The sequence below is a fragment of the Homo sapiens genome, chromosome 6 (assembly GCF_000001405.40).
Source record: "Homo sapiens chromosome 6, GRCh38.p14 Primary Assembly".
Taxonomy (NCBI): domain Eukaryota; kingdom Metazoa; phylum Chordata; class Mammalia; order Primates; family Hominidae; genus Homo; species Homo sapiens.
Window position 1 is genome coordinate 106,502,666 of NC_000006.12, and position 25,894 is coordinate 106,528,559.

The 25,894-nt window shown below is 42.1% G+C and overlaps 1 protein-coding gene across 3 annotated transcripts in view, besides 11 other annotated features; it reads left to right on the forward strand.

Annotated features, from left to right (window-relative positions):
* The window catches only part of CRYBG1 (crystallin beta-gamma domain containing 1), a 211,301-nt gene that overhangs the window by 141,949 nt on the left and 43,458 nt on the right, over positions 1-25,894 (forward strand). For 2 of the 3 annotated variants that reach the window (XM_047418270.1, NM_001371242.2), the window contains 5 exons: positions 8,765-10,374; positions 16,466-18,788; positions 22,468-22,515; positions 22,603-22,721; positions 24,640-24,805. In XM_047418270.1, the coding sequence (XP_047274226.1) occupies positions 8,765-10,374; positions 16,466-18,788; positions 22,468-22,515; positions 22,603-22,721; positions 24,640-24,805 (4,266 nt within the window). Of the gene's footprint in view, positions 1-8,764; positions 10,375-16,465; positions 18,789-22,467; positions 22,516-22,602; positions 22,722-24,639; positions 24,806-25,894 lie in introns of those variants that run through there. The other variant, NM_001624.4, reaches the window with a different exon arrangement.
* Positions 7,181-7,260: an enhancer, noted in NCBI's record as "active region_24886". NCBI's record gives its function as "activates an Ori minimal core promoter by ATAC-STARR-seq in GM12878 lymphoblastoid cells {active_cell/tissue: GM12878}" and the evidence as "EXISTENCE:reporter gene assay evidence [ECO:0000049][PMID:35858748]".
* Positions 7,181-7,792: a biological region, named in NCBI's record as "H3K4me1 hESC enhancer GRCh37_chr6:106957727-106958332".
* Positions 7,187-7,792: an enhancer, noted in NCBI's record as "H3K4me1 hESC enhancer chr6:106957727-106958332 (GRCh37/hg19 assembly coordinates)". NCBI's record gives its function as "activates a minimal SCP1, AML or CMV promoter by ChIP-STARR-seq in naive H9 embryonic stem cells {active_cell/tissue: H9 hESC(naive)}" and the evidence as "EXISTENCE:reporter gene assay evidence [ECO:0000049][PMID:30033119]".
* Positions 7,538-7,597: an enhancer, noted in NCBI's record as "active region_24887". NCBI's record gives its function as "activates an Ori minimal core promoter by ATAC-STARR-seq in GM12878 lymphoblastoid cells {active_cell/tissue: GM12878}" and the evidence as "EXISTENCE:reporter gene assay evidence [ECO:0000049][PMID:35858748]".
* Positions 8,520-9,478: an enhancer, noted in NCBI's record as "H3K27ac-H3K4me1 hESC enhancer chr6:106959060-106960018 (GRCh37/hg19 assembly coordinates)". NCBI's record gives its function as "activates a minimal SCP1, AML or CMV promoter by ChIP-STARR-seq in naive H9 embryonic stem cells {active_cell/tissue: H9 hESC(naive)}" and the evidence as "EXISTENCE:reporter gene assay evidence [ECO:0000049][PMID:30033119]".
* Positions 9,530-9,599: an enhancer, noted in NCBI's record as "active region_24888". NCBI's record gives its function as "activates an Ori minimal core promoter by ATAC-STARR-seq in GM12878 lymphoblastoid cells {active_cell/tissue: GM12878}" and the evidence as "EXISTENCE:reporter gene assay evidence [ECO:0000049][PMID:35858748]".
* Positions 9,610-9,769: an enhancer, noted in NCBI's record as "active region_24889". NCBI's record gives its function as "activates an Ori minimal core promoter by ATAC-STARR-seq in GM12878 lymphoblastoid cells {active_cell/tissue: GM12878}" and the evidence as "EXISTENCE:reporter gene assay evidence [ECO:0000049][PMID:35858748]".
* Positions 9,890-10,159: a silencer, noted in NCBI's record as "silent region_17433". NCBI's record gives its function as "represses an Ori minimal core promoter by ATAC-STARR-seq in GM12878 lymphoblastoid cells {active_cell/tissue: GM12878}" and the evidence as "EXISTENCE:reporter gene assay evidence [ECO:0000049][PMID:35858748]".
* Positions 16,600-17,799: an enhancer, noted in NCBI's record as "CDK7 strongly-dependent group 2 enhancer chr6:106967140-106968339 (GRCh37/hg19 assembly coordinates)". NCBI's record gives its function as "activates an origin of replication core promoter dependent on BRD2, BRD4, P300/CBP, MED14 and CDK7 cofactors, with strong dependence on CDK7, by STARR-seq in HCT116 cells {active_cell/tissue: HCT116}" and the evidence as "EXISTENCE:reporter gene assay evidence [ECO:0000049][PMID:35650434]".
* Positions 17,022-17,511: an enhancer, noted in NCBI's record as "active region_24890". NCBI's record gives its function as "activates an Ori minimal core promoter by ATAC-STARR-seq in GM12878 lymphoblastoid cells {active_cell/tissue: GM12878}" and the evidence as "EXISTENCE:reporter gene assay evidence [ECO:0000049][PMID:35858748]".
* Positions 18,252-18,301: an enhancer, noted in NCBI's record as "active region_24891". NCBI's record gives its function as "activates an Ori minimal core promoter by ATAC-STARR-seq in GM12878 lymphoblastoid cells {active_cell/tissue: GM12878}" and the evidence as "EXISTENCE:reporter gene assay evidence [ECO:0000049][PMID:35858748]".

Sequence of the window (25,894 nt, forward strand, 5' to 3'; positions counted from 1 at the left end):
CTGGGGTACTTGTTAGTCATAATTAGGCACACAGTAGAATTAGTCAGGATCCCAGCACAGGAAACATATAGCACACTCAAGTTGTGTAATTAAGGAAAGTAGTGAAGGACTATTTACAAAGTGTGGGCGAGGTTTTAAGGAAGCCAAGAAGGGCTAAAAAAAACCTTAGGCTTCAGGGTTCTTCTTTCACATGGCCTCTTCCAAGGCCCTCTCCTTAAAATCTATAAGCCAGAATTTTGTGTTCTTTGTCTTAAAGAAAACTCTCAAAATAACATATGCCTCATGCCCCACAAAACTTCATTCTACCTCAAGCAATAGCTAATGAAGCCTTCCCATCTGGCACCTGGTGAGGTCCTTTCCCATCTTAGGCCTGAAGGAGCAAGAGGGGAAAGCGGCTCGGGAATATGGGGAGAGAGAACAGCGGCGGAAGTGGGCTGCCTGGCAGAAGCCCTGGTCACACCCAGCCACACCCAACCCAGAGCCCAACTAAGAGATGGAGAGATTAGGGGGGAAATCAGGGCCTCCCACTGGCTGAACCTAACCAAATCCTAAGGACAAGAAAGTCAGTTTCTACCTTCCATCATAACTGGGAGCCTGGGGCGCAGACAAGGCTGAGGGAGGGTGAGCCTACGGAAAGATCCAGCACACTCTATCTACAATTACCTGGATTCTAAAGACAGAGCTCCATCACAAGAGAGGGCTCATTGGCTGTTTATGCTATCACATCCATTGCTGTACTGCATGGCCTAGGAGAAAGCATGTAAGCCATGCCTTCATAAAAGTGACACATTAATCATTCTAGTAAAGTCTTATTTTTCTAATGATACATTATAATTTCTAACAAGAAAAAATACTGAGCTACCTTTTAGAAAGCCTGACTTATGTCTTAGAAAAAATAATTCGATTCTACAGGCCACAGGTTGCCTCTTTAAGGTGCGGAGAAAATTCTGGCACAACGTAGACACTCAATAATTATCAGTGGAATGAATGAGTAAATGATCCTACAATTCAGACATTCCATGATCTTATCTTTTATCTTCCTTTCTGATTGATCATGTGTCGATGGCTTGAAACAATTAGGTTTCACTTTGTCTCTGTCAAAGTATAAATGACTTAAAGACAATACCAACCCGAAACTGGGAGTCTGCTTTTTAAAAGAAGCTTTTTGGGAGAATGAAATTATAATTATAAATTATAAATTAACTTTTATAATTGATGGCTTTTGTATTCAGTGACACCTCTTTTTCAGGACACAGGTTAATCTGGAAGTTAAAAAGTCTGTCACTATTCTTTCACCCAATAGTATACCTTTGATTGTACCCAACAGGATGATATTATTGTTTGGCCTGAAGTGACAGCATTAGAAAAAAAAAAAAAAAAAAACCACAACCATTGAGGTGTAAGTAGAGAGGTATGTGTTACATTATGTTGAAATGACAGAAAAAAGATTTTTTTAAAAAAAGAAAAATAGCATCAGAGATGAGGTGGGCACTAGAAGTGGTGACAAATATTAGAAGCAGCATGGGGCAAGCAGACATTCCACCCCGGGAGACTGGGAGCAGTGACATCGGAGAAGAAGGTTCTGAAGCCCTAACCTCAAGGATTATTGGTTATATCATATGAAATTGGACTGTAGATCAAAAATGGCCAAATGTCACAGTTTCATATACCTTTTCATAAGAGATCTGCTTACTACCAGACAGTGTTACAGTCTGTGGGTCATTTAGTGTAAGCCGTAGTCTTCACTCCTTCTAACAGCCCTGGAAGAAATCACTATTGTAGCACAAATGTAGTAACAGAGGTTCATAGTTCTGTCTCCAGAATCATAAAGAAGTAGCTAAATTATATCTAGTATACTCTTAGGTAACTGAATCATATATAATAGAAAATATTTTAAAAGTTAAAATGAAAAGCTTCTGTGCTTAATAGATCAGAGTTCATTTATGTGAACATTTCTTTATTCTTTTTGCTGTGCGTGTGTGTGTTTGTGTGTGTGTATATGTGTGTGTGTGTATAGAACAGGCCACATATATTATCCCAATCAATATCAGAAAGGAAAACACAAACGGAAAGGTGGGGAGGATAGTTAATTTATTTTTAATGCCTATTCCAAATCAATGTCTGTGGTATCAGGGATCTGTATGTGGATCCTCCCTTAAACTTAACTTCATCTGCCTGGTGTTTCTGATACTGAGATGATATTCTGCCATACACTTATCATGGGAAAATACAATTTTAACTTTAATTCTAAAAGTCTTCAGAATGAATATCCTGGAAGTTATTAAAAAAAAAAAAGAATCATGTCTCATAAAAGTCTTTCTTTAAGATGGACTGGAGTGCAGTGGTGCAATCTTGGCTACTGCAACCTCTACCTCCTGGGTTCAAGTGATCCTCCGGCACAGGACAACAGGCATGCCCCACCTCACCTGGCTAACTTTTTTTTTTTTTTTTGAGACAGAGTCTTGCTCTGCCAGACTGGAGTGCAGTGGCACCATCTCAGCTTACTGCAACCTCCGCCTCCCGGGTTCAAGCAATTCTCTTGCCTCAGCCTCCCAAGTAGCTGGGACTACAGGCACGTGCCACCACACCCGGCTAATTTTTTGTATTTTTAGTAGAGACGGGGTTTCATCATGTTAGCCAGGATGGTCTCGATCTCTTGACCTCAGGATCTGCCCACCTTGGCTTCCCAAAGTGCTGGAATTACAGGCATGAGCCACCGCACCCGGCCCAATTTTTGTATTTCTTAGTAGGACAAGTTTCACCATCTTGGCCAGTCTGGTCTTGAACTCCTGACCTTAAGTGATCCGCTGGCCTCAGCTCCCCAAAGTGCTGGGATTACAGGCGTGAACCACCATGCCTGGCCTTGTTTTTCTGTGTGTGTTTCTCCTTTTTCTCCCCCTTCCCCATTCCCCATCTTCGTTCTTTAGTTAGCTGTCACGAGTCTAAAGTCTTTCTTGCTTCTATTGAACAGAATTTTCTAACCCCTATTTTAACTTTTAAAGTTGAAGTGTAAAGTAGCTCAAATTCCTATATTTTTAAGCCACACAACTCATGCTATTTTTTTTTTTTTACAAAAAAACTGCTCAGGAAAAAAAGTTGCTCACTAGCACAAACACACATATGCATATGTTGTGAACAAGTAACATGGCCAATCCTATCATTTACAGTAATATCCAGTTGACTCATTCCCATGTGGCTGAATTGAAAAGCTAAGGTATCTTTCAGAAATCAACAAAGTGAGAGCTCTTAGGGAATCACACGTGTTTAAAAAAAAAAGTTACTTTTGTACATTGATGACCACATTTTAGAAGGATGCACAGGTGAGTACATGTAACAAGATTTTGTTCCACTTTCCTGAGTCAGATTTGGGCTGAGAGGCTGCAGTAAACCTGTGCACCGGTAGCTCCATCAACACGTGGAATCCTCACTCTGGCAGAATAAAGCTGCCAAGTCTTGACCACACTAAGTTTTAGGCAGATAAGATTTTCATTCTGATTTGTTTAGAACAATGTTTCTAGTTGTCTCCAAGAGCATTGACAACTCCTTTTTTGAAAGGCAGGAGGGATGTTACTAATTCTTTAGTAGCAGCAAATACTTTATGTCCACCTCTAGCTGTCAGTCCCCCATGCTAGCTGTTGGAAAGGCAACAGAACATTTTTCCTGTTCTCAAGGAGCTTACATTCACTGGGGAATGAAAAGGTGGGAAACATAGGAAAACTTATTTATTTATTTTTTATAAGAAACATCACTTTACTCAAAATGTTATTAGATTTCTTGTCACTTTTTTTTTTTTTTTTTTTTTTTTTGAGATGGAGTTTCGCTCGTCAGCCAGGCTGGAGTACAATGATGTGATCTCAGTTCACTGCAACCTCCGCCTCCTGGATTGAAGCAATTCTTCTGCTTCAGCCTCCTGAGTAGCTGGGATTACAAGCAACCACCACCATGCCCAGCTAATTTTTGTATTTTTAGTAGAGACGGGGTTTCACCACATTGGCCAGGCTGGTCTCGAACTCCTGACCTCAGGTGATCCACCCACCTCGGCCTCCCAAAATGCTGGGATTACAGGTGTGAGCCACTGCACCCAGTCTAGATTTCTTAAAGATATAAACAGATTATAAACATAAAACAAATGTCAATGACCCATAATTGTATTAAAATTTAAAAACTTAGTTTTGTTCCCATAGTTACTATAAAAAGGAAAAACCCTTAGATAGTCAAATTTAGCAGAATTTATTTAAGCAAGGAAAAAAAGAAAAATTCATGATTCGGCCAGCTTCAGAACCAGAACAGTTTCAAAAAAACTCTACCATTTACATTATCTCCTTAACTAATGGGTAGCAAATGTTACAAGGTAACATTTACTAAGTGGTAATAGTAGGAATATATAGTAGTATATATAGTAGGCGCTGCCACACCACGAAGGTTGAGAATCACCTAACAGCACTGCAGCTAGTGCTGCCTGGGCCTCTACACGCTGCTGGAATATGATCTCGTGGATGGTTACATGTGCCCCTAATGAGCCACATTTCATATTAGCCAACAAGAACACTCTAAAGCAGGTCGTAGCACACAACCCATGTGCCACCTCTACAATAGTCCTGTTGTGGACTGCTCCGTCCCAGTTGGACATGGATGATGGAAGGGTGCCAAGTGCAGGTTCTGCACTGTAAGGTGTGCAGGCTGCCTTAAGTAAGGTGGGCAGAAAATACACAGTAAAAAGGTAAATACAAAGGAGGACCCAGGATTGCATGTGCTCTGAGAACACCCAGCCTGGGAACCCTCAGGACCCTGCCCAGGCCTGTGGGAAAGTCAGGGGCAGAGGAATCTGAGGAAGCATGAAGAAACTTGATGGTCACTCATGGCCTCTTTGCAAAACACTCCCCTTCCTAGCAAATTATCATCAAGCCTGGAAAGGTGGTGGGTCTGTGGCTTCCCATCCTAGGTTTAAGACCCCAGACCCAAAGGCTCAAACCTAAGAAGGTCCCTCTCTGACAACTCCCAGGCCAGCTAGTTTTTTGTCTCCATTTGCCTTAGTTTCCCCCTGAACAATGGAAAGAAACAATTCCTGGTTGAAAAGAAATACGTATCGCATTTAGGAAGGGGTGTTCCTCAAAGATGTGACTGAGGACTTTACTCAGGAGGTATGGGGCATTCTGAGCCCTGCTCAGATGATCCTGTTTGGAGATATGATCTTGGATATCCACAGGGACCTGGTCCCGTGGGAGAAGACTGCATTCCCCTGTCAACGAGTCTATCATTTGAAATGACACGAGATCCCTCATTAAGAACTGCATAACGTGGCTGGGTACGGTGGCTCACATCTATCATCCCAGCGCTTTGGAAGGCTGAGGCAGAAGGATCACTTAAGCCCAAGACTTTGATACCAGCCTGGGCAACATGGTGAAACTCTCTACAAAAAAGTTAAAAATTAGCTGGGCATGGTGGCACATGCCTATAGTCTCAGCTACTTGGGAAGCTGAGGTGGAAGGATCACTTGAGCCTAGGAGGTTGAGGCTGCAGTGAGCTGTGATCGTGCCACTGCACACCAGGCTGGTCAATACAGTGAGACCCTGTGAAATGTGCACCCAAGACAGATGGATTGTGCCACACAGTGCATTTCTATTCTTTATTTCCCAGGGGGAAAACTCTGTTTTAAAGAGATTGTATCTTAACTTCATTTATATATACCCATCTTAAATGTACAGTTTGATGAGTTTTGAAAGATAAGTACTCATGTGTAACCATCACCACAATCAAGATATAGAACTTTAACCCTCAACGTTCCTTTGTGCCTCTTCCCTGTTGCACCACCACCACTTACCACCCACTGACCCCACCCTCAGGCAACCACCGACCTACTTTCTATCATTATAGATTAGATTTGCACTGTCTAGAATGTCATATAAATGTAACCATACAGTATGTAACATTTGGAGTCTGCAAAAGCATTTAGCATCCATATCCTTACATGTTTCAGAAGTCTGTTCCTTTTTTATTGCTGAATAATACTCTGCTGTGTAGATGTACCACAATTTGTTTATCTGTTCACAAGCCATGTCCGGTGACTTTGAGCTGTTTCCAGTTTTTAGCTATTATGAATGAATGAAGCCACTATGAACATTCATGTATTTTTAGGAAATTCAGCAGTCTGGCTGGTGATAAACAGGCTGCCCCTCTGAGGGGGGGAGGAGTCAAGTAGTTGAGCCAAGTTGAAGAGCAAGCAACCAGTTTTGTAAAAAGCATCTAATAGCCAAAAAAAAAAAAAAAAAAATTGTTTTAATGCCTATACTAAGCATAGAGAGGACTGCTTGCTGATCAAGCGTCTGCTGCATGGGAAAAGCAGATTGCAACATCATTGGCAGGACAGAGTAATACATATACTTAGTTGGTTTATTTTGACAGGGAATGGAATTAAGCCAAGACTCAAACCTATTTTCCCTGGCTACTACTTCAAGATACGTTTGAAGGCCTGTCCAGACAGCAGAGACACAGAGCTCTATGTCAGAGTCAGACTTTACCTGTGGTGGGACCTTGGACAAACGGGCACTAAAAAAAGACTACCTACCTAGCTGTTGGGAAGATAAAATGAAAGTGTGTGAATCACAAGGGCCTGACCCATAAGGATAGCTCAGTAAACATGTATTATGATTTAAAAATCATGTCATACCTTTGACTTGTAAAATAATCCAAATGTTTCCTTAGGAAGTTACAATATTTTAATTTTTTCCCTTAAATCATACTTCGAATTCTTCCTATATTATTTATATAACCATTGAAGAATCGGATTAATCAAAATCTGGTTAGATTTTAAAATCGTATGACGTCGGGTACAAGAGCTCCGAGCGGCTGCACCATTGGTTCATCGCAGCAGCAGCAGCTGTCTAGTCCCAAAGCGCCCACCAGGCGCTTCTAAGACCAGGAGAGTCTTAGAACCTTGAGAGCAAATCTGATTCATGCGCACTTCCCCGGGAGCTGACTCTGGGGGGTGGGTGACCCGTAGTCTGTTCCTCTGGGCCGACTGTGGTTCTCGGGTGGCGGCAGAACCTCCGCGGCCTCTGAAAGGGGCCCCTGTGGCTGAATGGAAGGAGCATGGGGTGGGCAGGAGGCGACTTGGATTTGAATTCTGACTTTACTGCTCTGACCGCCTCTCCCCCCCACCCCAATTTTGTGTCTCTTTATAGGCTGGCTGAGCTTCCTTTCCTCATCTGTGTGGTAACAGCATGACCTTACTGGGCTGTAGCGGGGTGACACTATGTTACAGTACCAGGACTGTCTCAACAAATGCTTGTTGACCTGTTAATTTCATGCGTTATCTTTCCTATTTCCCATCGCCAAAGTCCATTTGCTGCATGTAACTCAAACGCAATGGAGCTTCAAAGGGTGATTGGGGAACCTCCCCGTAGTCGGTACTGTCCTGAATGTTCCTTTTCCAGGAAAGGTGGGGCTCTTTCCTGCGTCGCCAGGACTCAAGCTAGCACCTAGGTTTTGAATGTTTAAAAGTTGATTCTTAAGAAATACAGTAGCCGCACGTTTGGCCTGGTTTCAGAGGAGTCCTTACGCAAATACACTTCCCTCTCCTAGGAGCCAGGCTGGGCTCGCCGCCCCTGCTCCCCCGCTTTCCCAGGCTCGCCTCCTCCTCTTCCTGCCCACCTCTATGCCCCGCACCTACCCAGTCCCCACTCTGGCAAACCCCGGAGCGCCACCGCGCCCATTGGCGGGTTTGCTTTTATTGGTTTGTTCTGCGCTCCCTCCCGCCTTCTGGCGCGGGCACTGGATGCTAGCCGTTTTGCTCCAGGAGATATAAGAAGCCCAGGTTTTCCCCCTTCCTGGGAGCGCTGCGGATCATTCGCAGGCGGCCCGGCACCCTCGCATAGGTGGGCCGGCCCCTGGGGCTCCAGCCGTGCGACCCCGGAACCACACGTGTGGCGAGGAACGGGTCCCGGGGCGGAGTAGGCAGAGTCCCAAGCGCATCCTTCAGCCACACCTCCTCGGCTCTAGGGGGCGGTGAGCAAAGGCGGTCACCCCTGCAACCTCGCCCGCTACCCCCACGCACTCCTCCGTGTTCACATGGTAGGAACTCCCACAGGCAAAAGCCTTTCCGATGCGCTCTGCAGCCGCGGGATCACTCGGGTGTTTGAACGCTCGCGCGCTCCTCCCATTGGAGCTCCGGCTAAGGCGGGGCCCAGGTGCTTGCTTCCTCCGAGCTTGCTTAAGGTTTTCATGTTGCAAGTACTAGATGTTGAACCCAGGTGGCTTCTTACTGTTCTGGAGGAGAAGGCTGCTAGGACTGGTTTTTTTTCTTCGTCCTCCTTCCCTCCTACAAAAAGAATGGGCGGTGTTTCGGGAAAAAGTCCGCCTTAGGATACTTTAGTGTGTTTACTGCTGCCCCATGGTCACATGCACGGCTGTTTATAAATTGCATCTTTATTGAGGAAGAAGGTAAAAAACCTAGAGAGGGCAAGGAACTATTTATTTTGTATATGTGATTATTTGGACCGTTCAAATTTTCCTTTAAAAAACAAGAATTATAATTCAAAGAAAATGCTATTCTGACTACTGCCAGAAACTTAAGGTGTTTAAGCAAAATTCAAAAGTAAAACCAGAGTTTATTTTGTTGGAATGAATGTAACATAAACATAACTTTATCATTTTCAATTAGAAACTCTGGTCTGTTATCATTTTGGCTGGTGGTTCTGTAATGTACGTCTAAGGGGAAAAACACCAGATTCTCATATGTTCCCTCCTCATCCCTTTTATTTTTCAGTCCAGAGCACAACCTCCAGAAGACAACAGAAGGAAGCCAGTTTTGGGGAAACTTGGCACTCTATTCACTGCAGGAAGGAGAAGAAACAGTAGAAACGGGTTAGAGAGTCCCACCAGATCAAATGCCAAACCACTCTCTCCCAAAGATGTGGTAGCCTCTCCTAAGCTCCCAGAGAGAGAGAGTGAGAGGAGCAGATCTCAGAGCAGCCAACTGAAGCAAACGGACACAAGCGAGGAGGGCTCCCCGCGGGAGAATCCCCGAGAGGCAGAGGGCGAGCTCCCCGAGAGCGGTGGCCCCGCAGCCCCCCCTGACGCCGAGCTGTCACCTCGCTGGAGCAGCAGTGCAGCGGCTGTGGCTGTGCAGCAGTGCCATGAAAATGATTCACCCCAATTAGAACCTCTGGAGGCAGAGGGAGAGCCTTTCCCAGATGCCACCACCACTGCCAAGCAGCTGCATTCCTCGCCGGGAAATTCCTCCAGGCAAGAGAACGCAGAGACGCCCGCCCGCAGTCCGGGGGAGGACGCTTCACCAGGTGCTGGCCACGAACAGGAGGCTTTCCTGGGTGTGAGGGGTGCGCCAGGGTCGCCCACCCAGGAGCGGCCCGCGGGAGGACTAGGCGAGGCCCCTAACGGAGCCCCCAGTGTGTGTGCCGAAGAAGGCTCCCTGGGGCCCCGCAACGCCCGCAGCCAGCCCCCCAAGGGCGCGTCTGATTTGCCAGGTGAGCCTCCGGCCGAGGGCGCAGCGCACACGGCCAGCTCCGCGCAGGCAGACTGCACAGCCCGCCCCAAGGGTCACGCCCACCCTGCTAAGGTGCTAACTTTGGACATCTACTTGAGTAAGACTGAGGGGGCACAAGTGGACGAGCCGGTCGTGATTACTCCCAGAGCGGAAGATTGCGGTGACTGGGACGACATGGAGAAGAGGTCCAGCGGCCGTAGGTCGGGGAGGCGGAGGGGGTCGCAGAAATCCACCGACTCCCCCGGCGCGGACGCCGAGCTCCCTGAGAGCGCTGCCAGGGACGACGCGGTGTTCGACGACGAGGTGGCGCCAAACGCGGCCAGCGATAACGCCTCGGCGGAAAAGAAAGTGAAATCTCCGCGGGCAGCCCTCGACGGGGGCGTTGCCTCCGCTGCGAGCCCAGAGTCCAAGCCCAGCCCCGGTACCAAAGGGCAGCTCCGAGGGGAGTCGGACCGGAGCAAACAGCCACCCCCGGCTTCGTCCCCCACGAAGAGGAAGGGCAGGAGCCGTGCCCTCGAGGCCGTGCCCGCCCCGCCCGCCAGCGGCCCCCGGGCTCCCGCCAAGGAGTCCCCACCCAAGAGGGTGCCCGATCCCAGCCCAGTCACCAAGGGCACTGCGGCCGAGAGCGGGGAGGAGGCGGCGCGGGCCATCCCCCGCGAGCTCCCGGTCAAGAGCAGCTCGCTGCTGCCGGAGATCAAGCCCGAGCACAAGAGGGGCCCGCTCCCCAACCACTTCAACGGCCGGGCAGAGGGAGGTCGAAGCAGAGAGCTGGGCAGAGCGGCCGGAGCGCCTGGAGCTTCTGACGCCGACGGCTTGAAGCCCAGGAACCATTTCGGCGTGGGCAGGTCGACAGTGACCACTAAAGTGACCCTGTAAGTAGCCGCGCAAGTCCCGGCCGAGTTGCTGTCCGCACACGTGCTGGGGGTCCGCTCTGAGAGGCTCGGGGTATCTGCATTGTGGAAGAAACGTCTGGTCACTGAACTTTCCCCTCCATGCTGAACTTAAGATAGTGAAGGGCCAGTTTACACAGTCAAGATTTAAGATGACACCTGTGGCAGCCTCCTCAGTTAATTCCCTTTTTAACACAAGATTTAAGTTTAACGAATGTAAAAATAGGATATCCGTTGAAGCTCAACGTTTATGTAGATGAGAGATAAGACCTCATGGCCTGACATGAGCTGATTCTATTCTTTATTCAAAATGTACAAGGGTGTTCCAAGGTGGGATGTTCTTAAAATGCATGTGCTGTGAATTTCAAAATATGGAGCAAACAGTAACATGTTAAATACGATCCAGTAGCTTTGACATGTGTGAGTTTTAAGAGAATTTGCAGAACCTTTTATGGCACTCAGTGCATTTATTGGCAAAAAGCTTAAAAACACACAAGAAAAGTTCCTAATACAAGTATCTTGGTTGCTTCTTCCCCTTTATAATGTTAGGGAGTCTGGTGATACTTTTGGACCCAGGCTGAAAAGTAGTTTTCAGTTACTGAAATAAAGATCAGTGTTCTTACTGGAAGATTATTTGCTACATGAAAGCAGCTGTGACAGGTGTGAGTTTAAGATAATTCCAAAACATTTTATGGAACTTAGTGCATTATTGGCCTAAGCCTTTTTCAAAAAGTCCCTAATTTATGTATCTTGGTTGCTTCTTCCTCCTTGTGCTGCATGAAAGCACAAAACAACTGTGACTACTTGCTGTTAAGTTTATTCATTTCACAAGTAATTTATTTAATACTTTCTGTGCAAGATATTGTGCTAGTCACTGTGGGGGAAAAAAACCCTACAACTGTGACTCAGGATATTGCCCTGAAATTTTTATAGCCCCATCTGGCACACAAAAAGCACACAAATCAAATAACAATACAAGATGATATCTGATGAAACTGCCAAACGAATGTTACCATCTGTAAATCCTGGGGAAGTGCTAGCGAGCAAGAAATCACTGCTGGTGCTTTGGGGGAGCTGGGCCTTGTGCCTTGATGATAAATGCAATTTGTATAGGTGGACAGGATAGGGAAGGTACTCTATGAAACTGATAAGACCCTCCCTTCTCACACTTCTGCTCCCTCACCACTCCCACTTAGCACAGGTGAATAATGATTAAGTGCTTAAGTTTTTCCTCCATTCACATATTTGTTCAAGGAGTGGGTATTTTAACAACATTATCATTATAATTCTTGAACCTAATGGTTTCTTTCATTCTATTTGATTTCTTGGATAAGTAAGCTTAAGAGGAGGAGAGTTCTGATTGGGAGAACTCTGAGAACTCTGAGAGGGAAGTATGCGTAATGAATAACTTGACTACCTCACCAACTGCCAACCTGGAGACCTTTGATATAGTCAGTGATTTATTCTGTGATGGTAGGTAGCATCAGAGAAATGAGCTGGGTGAATGATGCCTATTATTTATAGAAGACCAGTGTGATTGAATGCTAAAGCCTCCTAAATGTGAGCCTTAGAGAAACATTGCTGTGTACCTTATGAAGGATGGTTCACCTGTCTTCCAATTAGAAGACACCAGTAGAAAAACCAGAAATGTTACACTGTGAAATAGTAGGCTAAACAAACAGGAAAGATGATCTTATAATGAAATTCTTCGTTTGCTGTTCTCTGTAATAGAACTAAACCAAATATGTCTTTCCCAGTTCTGATTAATTTATACCTAAAAATTTTCTTTACCAGACATTCAATGTATTTGTTTTGCGCAGTGCCTTGCACATGGTCATTTGGCAAATTATTGACTTAAAAATTAATAAGTATTTCTAGTCCTTTGACCCATTTCTTTGTGACTGATGGTTTTTTCAGACCCTTTAATTCTTCCTATGACCGTATCGCAAGATGTTAATCAGATTATTCTTTAAAACAATTTGAGACTGAAGAGTAAGAAAAACTATTTCGTATTTCCTGAAAAATGACACTGAAGTAGCATGTTCCTTTATGCTGTTAGAAAAATTATTACTTCAAGTTCTCTACCAAGTGCTGAATGTTGAAATTCTTAAAATGGTATATGTAGAATAAGGAGAATTTTCCTCTTATAATATAACTATGGCTTTTTGGACTCCAAATTATTTTCCCCTGTCTCATAATGAAGGCATTACAACATGAATTATAGGAGCCTTCCTTTTAATCAGTCTGAAGTAGGTTAATTGTAGTAACTCTTGGTAGCACAACTTAATAGCACAGAAAGTTTGGTTGTAAAATTTATTCTGATCTTCGTGTAAATCTTTAATGTGCAGATACGTGTTTCCTGTCCTTAAGGTAGCCTGTTGGCTAACCTGTAGTGTTTTCTATTTACATCATAAGATATACTTCGATGTTTGAATTGAGTACCCTTCCTTGAAATGATTAGTGAGAATTTTTAAAAAGTATATTCTCTGGTATGTGACCATCCCTCATTAACTGATAGCAAATTGAAGCTCTCTATTTCTAATCATCTCACTAGTTTCATAATTTGATCTTTGAGGAAATGCTTATAAATTAATTTTCCTTTTAAATTTAAGGTATGGGCCTGCAATAAGGGAGCCTAAGTATCTTATGGAGATATTGGGGAAAGCAATGCCTGGGAGAAATTTATGAGCAGAGATCAAATTTATTTATTTATTTATTTATTTATTTATTTATTTATTTATTTATTTATTTTTGAGACAGGATCTCACTCTGTTACCCAGGCTGGAGTGCAGTGGCATGATCATGGCTCACTGCAGTCTCGACCTCCCCCGGCTCAGGTGATCCTCCCACCTCAGCCTCCCTAGTAGCAGGGACTACAGGCGCACCACCATGTCTGGCTAATTTTTGTATTTTTTTAGAGACAGGATTTTGCCATGTTCCCCGGGCTGGTCTCAAACTCCTGGGTTCAAGTGATCCACCTGCCTCGGCCTCCCAAAGTGCTAGGATTACAGGCATCAGCCACTGATCCCAGCCTCAAATTTAGTATCAAGTAAAATTTGTAAAAATTAAAATCTGAATTCTCAGTGCTGCTTTTGGAGAGAATATTTTATCCAGAAGGATAAGTTGACTCACCAGCAGTCATACTGCCTGTCCCTTCTAGAAGCTCCTTAGGCCCAAGCTTCTTTTTTTTTTTTTAGACAGAGTCTCACTCTGTCGCCCAGGCTGGAGTGTAGTGGCACAATCTTGGCTCACTGCAACCTCCACCTCCCAGGTTTAAGCAATTCTCCTGCCTCAGCCTCCCAAGTAGCTGGGATTATAGGCCTGTGCCACCACACCTGGCTAATTTTTGTATTTTTAGTAGAGACAGGGTTTCACCATGTTGGCCAGGCTGGTCTGGAACTCCTGACCTGAAGTGATCCACCCGCTTTGGCCTCCCAAAGTGTAGGGATTACAAGCATGAGCCACCACACCCAGCCAGGCTCAAGCTTCATGAAGGCCAAGTCCATGAAGGAGAGGCAGTATGGGATTTCAGTGTCTCCACTTGTGTGTTCTCATTATCAAAGTGGCCTCTAAAGTCTATGTTATGTTATGGATCTCATGATAATTCACTGACTTTAAATGATAAAGATGGAAAGAACCAGAGGAGCTCATTCAGGCGGGTATAGTCCAAGCCTATCTGGGGAACCAGAATAGTATAGTGGTTGGGAGCATGGCATCTGAAGCCAGAGCACCTCACTTCAAACTGTGGCCCTGTCACTTATCAGCTGCATAACCTCAGGGAGTTACTTCTCAACACTTCAACTTCCTCAGCCAAAAATAGAATGTATAAAGTCGTATATTAATTAAGTAAGCCCGATGAAGCATTTGTCAAGGGCTTGACAATCACTGATTGTTAGTGGTTATGCTTTATCTCTCCCGTTTTATAAACCACTGGACTAATGGTTTAGACTTTTTTTTTTTTTTTTTTTTTGAGACAGAGTCTCACTTTGTCACCCAAGCTGGAGTGCAGTGGCATGACCATAGCTCACTGCAGCCTTGATCTTCTGGACTCAAGTGATCTCCCACCTCTGCCTTTGGAATAGCTGGGACTACAGGCACGCACCACTTCACCTGGCTAATTTTTTTGTTTGTTTTGTAGAGACTGGGTCTCAGTATGTTGCCCAGGCTGGTCTTGAACCCCTTGGCTCAAGCAATCCTCCCTCCTTGACCTCCCAAAGTACTGGAATATATATATACATATATATATACACACACACACACATATATATATACACATATATATATACACACACATATATATATACACATATATACACACACACATATACACACATATATATATATACACACACACATATATACACATATATATACACACACACATATATATACACACATATATATATACACACACACATATATATATACACACACACACACATATATATATATACACACACACATATATATAAGCTTTGGAATCCTTTCTTCTAAGAAAGTTTAAATAGGAGCAATAAATAAAACAGATACTAGGAGTGATTCTGCTTGAAAGGAGAGTGGACAGCCCCATCCTCATCCCTACTTTCCCCAACTGCAGCCCTTGAAGAGAACCCCAGGGATTCCTTCAACCATAAGTTGGGGGAAATAAAAACAACTCTGTTCTAAACCATCTCATTTTTTTTAAAGATGAAGAAGTTAGAGTCCAGAGAGGTAAAGTAACTTGACCAGGTTCACACAGATAATTAGCATAAAAGCCAGGACCAGAGCCAGAGAATGCCAAACAGAGCACATTTTGTTTCTCTGAAAGAAAGCACTGTGTACATTCAAAGACTTATTATTTCCACTGGGGGTAATTATACCCAAGAAATGTGACGGAGAGAGGGGAGACTCTCTTGCCCAAGAAGTGGTGACAAAACCAACAGTTGCATAATTGATAAGTAAATGACGGTACATCCATATGATGGACTTCCATGCAGCATTAAGACAACTTTTCAAACAAATTTTTTGGTAATCTGAAAAATGTTAACTATAAGGTTAAGTCATTTTATTTCTTGAAAAAGCAAGATATCAAATTATATGAACAGAATAATCTCAATTCTATTCAAAATATTTAATTATGCATATAAAAAGATTAGAAACATATAAAAATGTTAACAGGGATATTGTCTGACTGGTAGGATTATCAGTGATTTTTAAATATTATCCAAAGTTGCTATAGTGAACACACTTATAATCAGAGAAAATCTTATGGGGGAAGGATGAGATGAATAAAATATCCAAAGCGGTCAATAGTAGATGAATTTTTAAAATCTATCCTTTTGAGATAATATTTAAAAAGTTATGCTAAAATAAAAATACATAATTGATGTTGGAGCATGAGAATGCATTAAATATTTAAATTTCTTCTAATGTTGTTCAGGCCTTAAGATGTCTTCCAACTCTAGTGCCAAGCACTGTGCATACATGCTACGTACTCAATAAATTAGTTCATCCCTCATCCCTAGAGTTTCTTGGCTATATAATCTTCCGATCCCTCATATGCAAGCAAAACACCCATTAAAAATAGTTGGTAGTGTACTTAGGACTATTTAAAAATAGTTTCATTAAAAAACAAATGTGGCAGAGAATGGTGGCTCATGCCTGTAATCCCAGCACTTGGGGAGGCCAAGATGGGAGGATTGCTTGAAGCCAGGAGTTTGAGACCAGCCTGGGTGACATAGACCCCATTCTACAAAAAAATAAAAATAAAAAAATTAGTTGGGTGTGTGATATGTGCCTGTAGTCCCAGCTACCTGGGAGGCTGAAGCAGGAGGATTGCCTGAGCCCAGGAGTTCGAGGCTGCAGCAATCTATGATCACACTGCTGTACTCCAGTCTTGGCGACAGAGCAAGACCTTGTCTTAAAAACACATGTGTGCGCACACACACACACACATACACACACACACACACCACACTCCAAATGTTATATATCAGGGAGATGTTGGCTTTTCATAGTTTTATAATTAATTGGTTTGTGTGTTCACTTTTTAAAACTAGGTCAATAACTTTATCTTCCTGCTTTTTCCTCACAGCCCTGCCAAGCCCAAACATGTGGAACTAAATCTTAAAACCCCTAAGAATCTTGACAGTTTGGGAAATGAGCACAATCCATTTAGCCAGCCAGTTCACAAAGGCAACACTGCCACCAAAATCTCCTTATTTGAAAACAAACGGACAAACAGTAGCCCAAGACACACTGACATTCGAGGCCAAAGGAATACTCCTGCCTCTAGTAAAACGTTTGTTGGGAGGGCAAAGCTGAATTTAGCCAAAAAAGCCAAAGAAATGGAGCAACCTGAAAAGAAAGTAATGCCAAACAGTCCCCAGAATGGTGTGCTGGTTAAGGAAACTGCTATAGAAACCAAAGTTACCGTCTCGGAAGAAGAGATTCTGCCAGCAACCAGAGGAATGAATGGAGACTCTTCTGAGAATCAAGCTCTTGGTCCTCAGCCTAACCAAGATGATAAAGCAGATGTACAAACAGATGCTGGCTGCCTTTCAGAACCAGTGGCTTCTGCTCTGATTCCTGTCAAGGATCATAAGCTCTTAGAGAAGGAGGACTCAGAGGCTGCAGACAGCAAAAGCCTTGTACTTGAAAATGTAACCGATACAGCACAAGACATCCCCACCACTGTGGATACCAAAGATTTACCTCCAACGGCCATGCCAAAGCCACAGCATACATTTTCTGACTCACAGTCCCCTGCTGAGTCATCTCCTGGGCCTTCTCTTTCACTGTCTGCACCCGCTCCTGGGGATGTTCCCAAAGACACATGTGTTCAATCACCCATAAGCAGTTTCCCATGCACTGATCTAAAAGTGTCAGAAAACCATAAAGGATGTGTTTTGCCTGTGTCTCGTCAGAACAATGAGAAAATGCCACTTTTAGAACTTGGAGGAGAAACAACCCCTCCTTTGTCCACAGAGCGTAGTCCAGAAGCTGTGGGAAGTGAGTGTCCATCCAGAGTCCTCGTCCAGGTCAGGTCCTTCGTGCTCCCCGTGGAGAGCACCCAGGATGTGAGCTCCCAGGTCATCCCAGAGAGCTCTGAAGTTAGAGAAGTGCAGTTGCCAACTTGTCACAGTAATGAACCTGAAGTGGTTTCCGTTGCAAGTTGTGCTCCCCCACAAGAGGAAGTACTGGGCAATGAACACTCTCATTGCACAGCAGAGCTCGCGGCAAAATCTGGCCCACAAGTCATACCGCCAGCATCAGAGAAAACTCTGCCTATTCAGGCTCAAAGTCAGGGCAGCAGAACACCCCTGATGGCTGAATCCAGTCCCACCAACTCTCCCAGCAGCGGAAATCACTTAGCCACTCCTCAAAGGCCAGATCAGACTGTTACAAATGGCCAGGATAGCCCTGCCAGCCTTTTGAACATTTCTGCTGGTAGTGATGATAGTGTATTTGATTCTTCTTCTGATATGGAAAAATTCACTGAAATTATAAAACAGATGGATAGCGCAGTTTGTATGCCCATGAAAAGAAAGAAGGCCAGGATGCCAAACTCTCCTGCTCCTCACTTTGCCATGCCTCCTATTCACGAAGACCATTTAGAAAAGGTGTTTGATCCCAAAGTGTTTACCTTTGGTTTGGGGAAGAAGAAGGAAAGTCAGCCAGAAATGTCACCGGCTTTACATTTGATGCAGAACCTTGACACAAAATCCAAACTGAGACCCAAACGTGCATCTGCTGAACAGAGCGTCCTCTTCAAGTCCCTGCACACCAACACTAATGGGAACAGTGAGCCTCTGGTGATGCCGGAAATCAATGACAAAGAGAACAGGGACGTCACAAATGGTGGCATTAAGAGATCGAGACTAGAAAAAAGTGCACTTTTCTCAAGCTTGTTATCTTCTTTACCACAAGACAAAATCTTTTCTCCTTCTGTGACATCAGTCAACACTATGACCACGGCTTTCAGTACTTCTCAGAACGGTTCCCTATCTCAGTCTTCAGTGTCACAGCCCACGACTGAGGGTGCCCCGCCCTGTGGTTTGAACAAAGAACAGTCAAATCTTCTGCCCGACAACTCCTTAAAGGTCTTCAATTTCAACTCGTCAAGTACATCACACTCCAGTTTGAAAAGTCCAAGCCACATGGAAAAATACCCGCAAAAAGAGAAAACCAAAGAAGATCTGGATTCACGAAGCAACCTACACTTGCCAGAAACTAAATTTTCTGAATTGTCAAAACTGAAGAATGATGATATGGAAAAGGCTAATCATATTGAAAGTGTTATTAAATCAAACTTGCCAAACTGTGCAAACAGTGACACCGACTTCATGGGTCTTTTCAAATCAAGCCGGTATGACCCAAGCATTTCTTTTTCTGGAATGTCATTATCAGACACAATGGTAAGTAGCAATGTGTTATTATTTATTTGGGGTATTTTTAAAGCAAGGGAAGAGAAGGATGATGAGCAACTCATGTTATTCTTTTAGAAATGGTTAAGCTTATGTGCTATAGTTTTTATTCATTCATCACATATTTGAAAACCTGCAATGTACAAGGGACCGTTAGAGTGCAAGAAAAAAATGTACTAAGAGTCTTCACTGAAGGCATCTGTAGTCTTGCAGGGAGATAAAGCTACAAATGCTCTAAGGCACATGATCTTTTTTTTTTTTTTTTTTTTTTTTTGAGACAGAGTCTCGCTCTGTCGCCCAGGCTGGAGTGCAGTGGTGCAATCTCAGCTCACTGCAACCTCCACCTCCTGGGTTCAAGCGATTCTTCTGCCTCGGCTTCCCTAGTAGCAGGGAATGCAGGCGCGTGCCACCACGCCTGGCTAATTTTTGTATTTTTAGTAAAGACTGAAAATACAAATACGGGGGTTTTACCATATTGGCTGGGCTGGTCTCGAACTCCTGACCTCGTGATCCATCTGCCTCGGCCTCCCAGAGTGTTGCGATTACAGGTGTGAGCCATCCTGACTGGCTGGCAATAAATCTTTTAAGGCACATGTGAATTTATATGTTGTATTATGAAAGGTATAGGTAAGCTTTTAGAGTTCAGAGACAGATGAGTTGCTTTTTCTTACCTATTCTATGTAAAAATGCTCAGTGCTATACTTAGAATTTTGAAGATTTGTGAAGGAGCTTCCTCTATTTGGGAAGTCCCCAGCCAGGGAAACTTTTTCTTAATCCTTCTCTCTGTGAGATTCACTCTTTGTTCCCATAAGTAGCAATAGGTGTTTATCCTATGCAATTGAGACAGTATTTTGTCTTTATTGGGAATTAGTTTTCATTAGGGAAATATTTTTTTTACCCTGCAAAGCTGTGGGGAATAAAGAATTTTGGTTTTCATTGGATCTTTTCTTAAATATTAGAGAGAAGACAGCAAAACATGATTTTGGGGAATAATTTTGATTTCTGCATCTTCTTTTATCTCACTTCAGAAGATGTTTACTTTACTCGGTTTTTGATGTGAATTGCGCCTTTTTGTTACCAAGCTTATTTAAGGTGAGAAAGGACTATGAGAGAGGAAGGTGGAATATATGTTTAGTGATCAGCTCTGCCAGGCTAGAAACCTGAGTAGGGTTTGTATTCTGGTGGTCCATCCTGTGAACCCGGCTGTCTGGCAAGTGTGGACCTCAATCCAACACAGTTTATCTAGGCAGAAAATACCTTGCACCTTTCCTCGTCTGTACAGGGTACTGCAGCATGGTTCAATGTATTGTATTGGCTTTTACTACAATCCTGTCAGAGAATGTGATGTTGCAAGCTCTTTCAAAATATATGGTTGGGTTTCCAGCAGAGGTGCAGATCCCTTTTTCATGTGATTTCATAAACTTTCATAAAGTTTGGGTTTCAGATGTTTGGTGTTAGGACCCTTTATGTTTAAAAATGATTGAGAACCCCAACGAGCTTTTGTTTGTATGGGTTCTGCCTATCAGAATTTATTATATTATAAATAATTGCTGAGAAAATTGTAAAACACCAGAAAGTAGAAGTGCACACTGCACCAGTGCTCAGAGCAACGATGTCATCACACATCATGGAGCCTTGTACTCCGCTGGACATTTGAGACAGAGATGAAAAAGGCAGGTGACCTCTTCTTATTATGAAAATAGTTTTGACCCCATGGACTACCTGAAAGTATCTTGGAGACCCCCGCAGTGGCCTCTGAACCACATTTTGAGAACCACTGCTATAAACAAATAAGACTGAATCAGCCTATGGTACTCAGAAATCATAAAATTCTAACTATTTCTATTAATAGTTATATAATAGAAATATTAACTATTTCTCTCAAGCACAAAATTTCCACTGGTCCACTTCCCATTCATTACTACTTTGTTCTTTTTAATTGTTCTTAGATCGCTTTCCTTATTTAACTACAGTCTGACAAAGTTGATAACAGAATATACAGTTTCCCTATGAAAATCAAGTCAAATGACATAAAAAGGAAAAATAAAATCTTTATACTTTTTCTAGGCCTTTTTATGATTAAAAAATATGGTCTTTCTTTAGGTCCTGGGCTTTTATTGATTGTATATTCAATCATGAAGGTTTTACCTGAATTTTGTTTTAAATTTTAGGCTTTTTCTTCAGTTTATCTACTTCTAATGTGTATATATACATAAATAGGTATATACCATCTGGCTTCTGATAAGGCTCTAGGGGGGCCCTTATGGCCTTTTTTTTTTTTTTTAGAGTCAGAATCTCGCTCTGTCACCCAAGCTGGAGTGCAGTGGCATGATCTCAGCTCACTGCAACCTCTCTGCCTTCCAGGTTCAAGCGATTTTCATGTCTCAGCCTCCCAAGTAGCTGGGATTATAAGTGAGTGCCACCACGCCCAGCTAATTTATGTATTTTTAGTAGAGACGGGGTTTTGCCATGTTGGCCAGGCTGGTCTCGAACTCCTGACCTCAGGTGATCTGCCCACCTCAGCCTCCCAAAGTGCTGGGATTACAGGTGTGAGGCACTGCGCCCCAGCCTTTTGTGGTCTTCTGGGCATATCACACTCTGGTGTGATGCAAGAGCAGTCAGAGCAAAGGCAGTTCCTAAAATAGGCATCCTGGTCAGCACTGAAAGTAGTTCACGTTTTGTAATATTTTTACATGTATAATTACTATTTTATTATCTTATGCATTTCTGGTTTTACTGGTCTTGTCAGATGGTCTTGAAAATGATTAGTTTTGGAGCCATATTGAAATGTATTTTGTCTATCAAAAAAGCGGGATTAGGCCGGGCACGGTGGCTCTCACCTGTAATCCCAGCACTTTGGGAGGCTGAGGCAGGCGGATCACGAGGTCAAGAGATCGAGACCATCCTAGCCAACATGGTGAAACCCCATCTCTACTAAAAGAAAAATACAAAAATTAGCTGGGCCTGGTGGCACATGCCTGTAGTCCCAGCTACTCGGGAGGCTGAGGCAGGAGAATCACTTGAACCCAGGCGGAGGTTGCAGTGAGCCAAGATGATGCCACTGCACTCCAGCCTGGTGACAGAGCCAGACTCCATCTCAAAAGAAAAAAAAGGGGGATTAAATATACTATGTGCAATGTACATTATGAAATATACCATATATACCATAAACACTTCTATTTAGACTAGTGGTTGTTATATGATTGTAGATTTACTATGAGAAAACAATATTTATATGGATTCAGATAGGGTATGTATATGAACACAAAATTGATTCAGCTCTTTCTAGGTAAGTGATTAATATATTCTAATTTATCTTTATTTGAGATGATACTGATATTATTTGAATTAGAATCTCTTAGCTGAGTTCCTATTCTGTGAACTGACATGAAACATATGTGCCCTGAATTTTCTAGCATTGGTGGAAATAGCCTAGACATTTAAATTAGGAGAAATTGAAATGGCAAATTCAGTTAGAGGTGAAAAAACCTCAATTTAAAAGCATAAACTCAAAGAGTTTTAATACAACTTTAGCATCCATTAGAGTGGAGGTTTCAAAATCGATACAATGTGGGAAAAGTGTGATCTACCTACAGGATCGTGGGTGGAAAAAGAGGATCGTTATGTGAAGTTGTAATTATTTGTTGTGTTTTTGTTCATCTGATTGCAGACACTTAGAGGAAGTGTCCAAAATAAACTCAATCCCCGACCTGGAAAGGTAAGATTATTTTCTGTTTCTAGTCTTGATTCTATTTTGGTCTGACAGAGTACAACAAAGTGTGCTACCACTTTCGTTTTCTTGCAGGTAGTGATATATAGTGAACCCGACGTCTCTGAGAAGTGCATTGAAGTTTTCAGTGACATTCAGGATTGCAGTTCTTGGAGCCTCTCTCCAGTGATACTCATAAAAGTTGTTAGAGGATGGTAAGAATGGCACTTTAAGTTCCTGATGTCAAGTGTTTGAGTTTTACATACTTAATTAACTTTTTAGTCCTCACTACTAGTTTAAAATTATGGCTTTAGCAATGAAAAGCACAGGAAATACTACTCGTGGTAAGATAAGGGATTCATATCTTAACAATGTCATTTTAAATCATGTTTCTGATTATAGCAGTGATATATGTTTATGGGAGAAAAATCAGAACAATACAGTAGAACAAGCTTCTTTTTCCCATGCTTCCCCATAATATTGTTTTGGACTAGTCATATATCAGGGCCCATAACATACTCTTGGTTGATGACCTTTAAATGAGGTTGATAAGAATTGCACTAGTTATGTTGATAGGCCAGATACGACTTTTCAAAAACCTATAAGGAAACTTGAGAACACGTAGGAAAAGGCAAAGTAAAGAAACAATAAGGAAAAAAAATCTATAAGGTAAAACAAAAATAATCTATAAAGAAAGGCATTTTTCTAACTTTTTAATGACAGTTCAATGCAGCACTAACTTAAAATTTAATTTACTTTCCAATATTTCCACAAAAGATTGTTTTGGCTAAGTAAAGAAACTGGTGAAAAAAATAAATATTTTGACAGTTTCTGAAATCATTTTATCAGCTTCATTGCCTCTTGGAGATACACAGGAAGTTGGGTAGAGAAAGGCAGCTTAAAAAAAGAAATCGCTGATCTGGCATAATAGTTATCTTTTGGTGCCTACTTGTAAACTTGTTTGAAGTAAAGAGGGTAGACCTCTGAATGTTTATGGATTTACAAATTCATAAGCTTTTCTTTTGGTCTCCATTTGATTAAATATGCAGCAGCTTTCCTATTAGATTTTTAGGTGTTTTAATATTTTTTCCTATATATCCAACATAGTCATGAGAAAAACAAGATTTGCTTTTATTCTTAAATTTGAAGACAAATGCTATTTTAATTGCTAGAGAATTGGCCACTAATATACAATATATAATAGTGGCAATTTTTTACACAAATTTTGTTTTTATGGAACAGTACTTTTTCCTTTCTTTTGCAACTTTTGTCGGCTTCTTTTTCTTGAAAGCATAAGCATTTACACTGCCATATATTGACATGAGGTTTTTCTTTAGTGTTTGGCTGTTGTTGGGAAGAATATTATTAAAATGCTTTCCATTACCATATCTATAGTCTTTTGTGCCAACATATTCATTGATATGACTGTAATATGTAAGTTAAAGTCTCTCTAAGAGAAATGTTTTCTACACATATAAGGAGACAAAAGGCCAGACATGGTGGCTCATGCCTGTAATTCCAGCACGTTGGGAGGCCGAGGTGGGCAGATCACTTGAGGCCAGGAGTTCGAGATCAGCAGGCCAACATGGGGAAACTCAGTCTCTACTAAAAATACAAAAATCAGCCAGGCTTGGTGGCACATTCCTGTAATCCCAGCTACTAGGGCAGCTGAGGCAGGAGAATTGCTTGAACCAGGGAGGCGGAGGTTGCAGTGAGCCGAGATCGCACCACTGCACTCTAGCCTGGGCAACAGAGCAAGACTCTGTATCCAAAAAAAAAAAAAAAAAAGAGACAAAAAAAAAAAAACCTAGTACAGTAAACATCCATTTATCTGACATATTATCATAAGTCTCTACCACTTGGCAATTACTTAGAACATTAGTAGCTCTATAGCATTCATATAGGTAACTCCAAAGTTCTCTAAGATCCTGATATAGTTCATGAGTTATCAGAGGCTTAATTATACCCAGTAAAATATTAGTGTTAGGGAGAGTTTAAGCTATTTTAATTGCTAGATAATTGGCTGCTAATATTCTATATATATATATAAAATGGCAATTAGCCAGGTTATTTGAGTAATCAAAACCTCTCTCACGAAGACTGACTAATGGTTTTGCTGTGTTTTATTGTTAGTTGGATTTTGTATGAGCAACCAAATTTTGAAGGGCACTCCATCCCCTTAGAAGAAGGAGAATTGGAACTCTCTGGTCTCTGGGGTATAGAAGACATTTTGGAAAGGCACGAAGAAGCAGAGTCTGATAAGCCAGTGGTGATTGGTTCCATCAGACATGTGGTTCAGGTAGGTTGTGGTAAATATGGATTTTATTTATTCAGCTAATATTTATGGATTCTTACTTTAAGGGAAATGATCATTTTACGAAATATGTGATTGGGAAACATATTTGGTGCCTTATGGATATATTTTCTGTATTTTAAGTATTTGTACACTTTAAATAATTTAAAAAGAAACATAATTGGTTAGATAATTTTTCACAATAAACCCTTTAGGTAGATCTTTTATGCCTGTCCTTCTATTCCCATCTTCCAAATATATTTTACCTGGTAACTTGGTTTAAATGAGTTCTGCCTCTATGAACAGGTTTTTCATTTATTTAGTGTTTTTGTTTGCTGTATGAGTTCTGATTACTTTGAGTGGTTTATAGGAATTCTATTTTGGAAAAATAAATAATCCAAAAATAATTTGGTTGATTAACTCTGGGATTTCATGTGGGTTTAACAAAATATTATTTACTCTATTTGAGGCCACTTTATGGGTGAGGTAAAATTTCTTGGTTTCTTGTTATTTGATGAGGAAAGTGTTGTCAGAGTCTTTCTTTGTGGCTCTTAGGATTTGATGATTCTTTACCTTAAAAATGCAATTAATGATGTCTTCTAAGTAGAAAATTAAAATCCCAAGTTTTAATGGAGACGAGTGTCAAGATGCAATACAGAGAAAAGGAACATTCTTACATGAGAATGAGTAAGGATGAGTAACAGTTTTGGCAGAGGAAAGCATCGCTTACTTCCTGAGTCAACATTTCTGAGTAACTTAGGTGGTAATTGGTATGCTAAATGATTTATCTTTTATTTGTTTTAAGTATATAATACGAGAAGACTAAGTAAGACTTGAGAAACCCTATTTCAAAATGTCCTCATTAGTGGAATATTTTGCCTAGAGTTTTTATTTACTGCTCAAATAATATTGGAAATAAAGCAATGTTTAAAAAGATCATCTGATTCCCACCATCATGAAGTGTCCCCTCCCCTTTTATTTTTTGAATTTTCTACCCTTTGTTGGCCATATTCTAGTCTGCTTTTTCTGCAGTAATAATCATAATACAGGTACAATGCTGTTCCACCCTTCTCACCTAACACTGTGGTTCTCAAT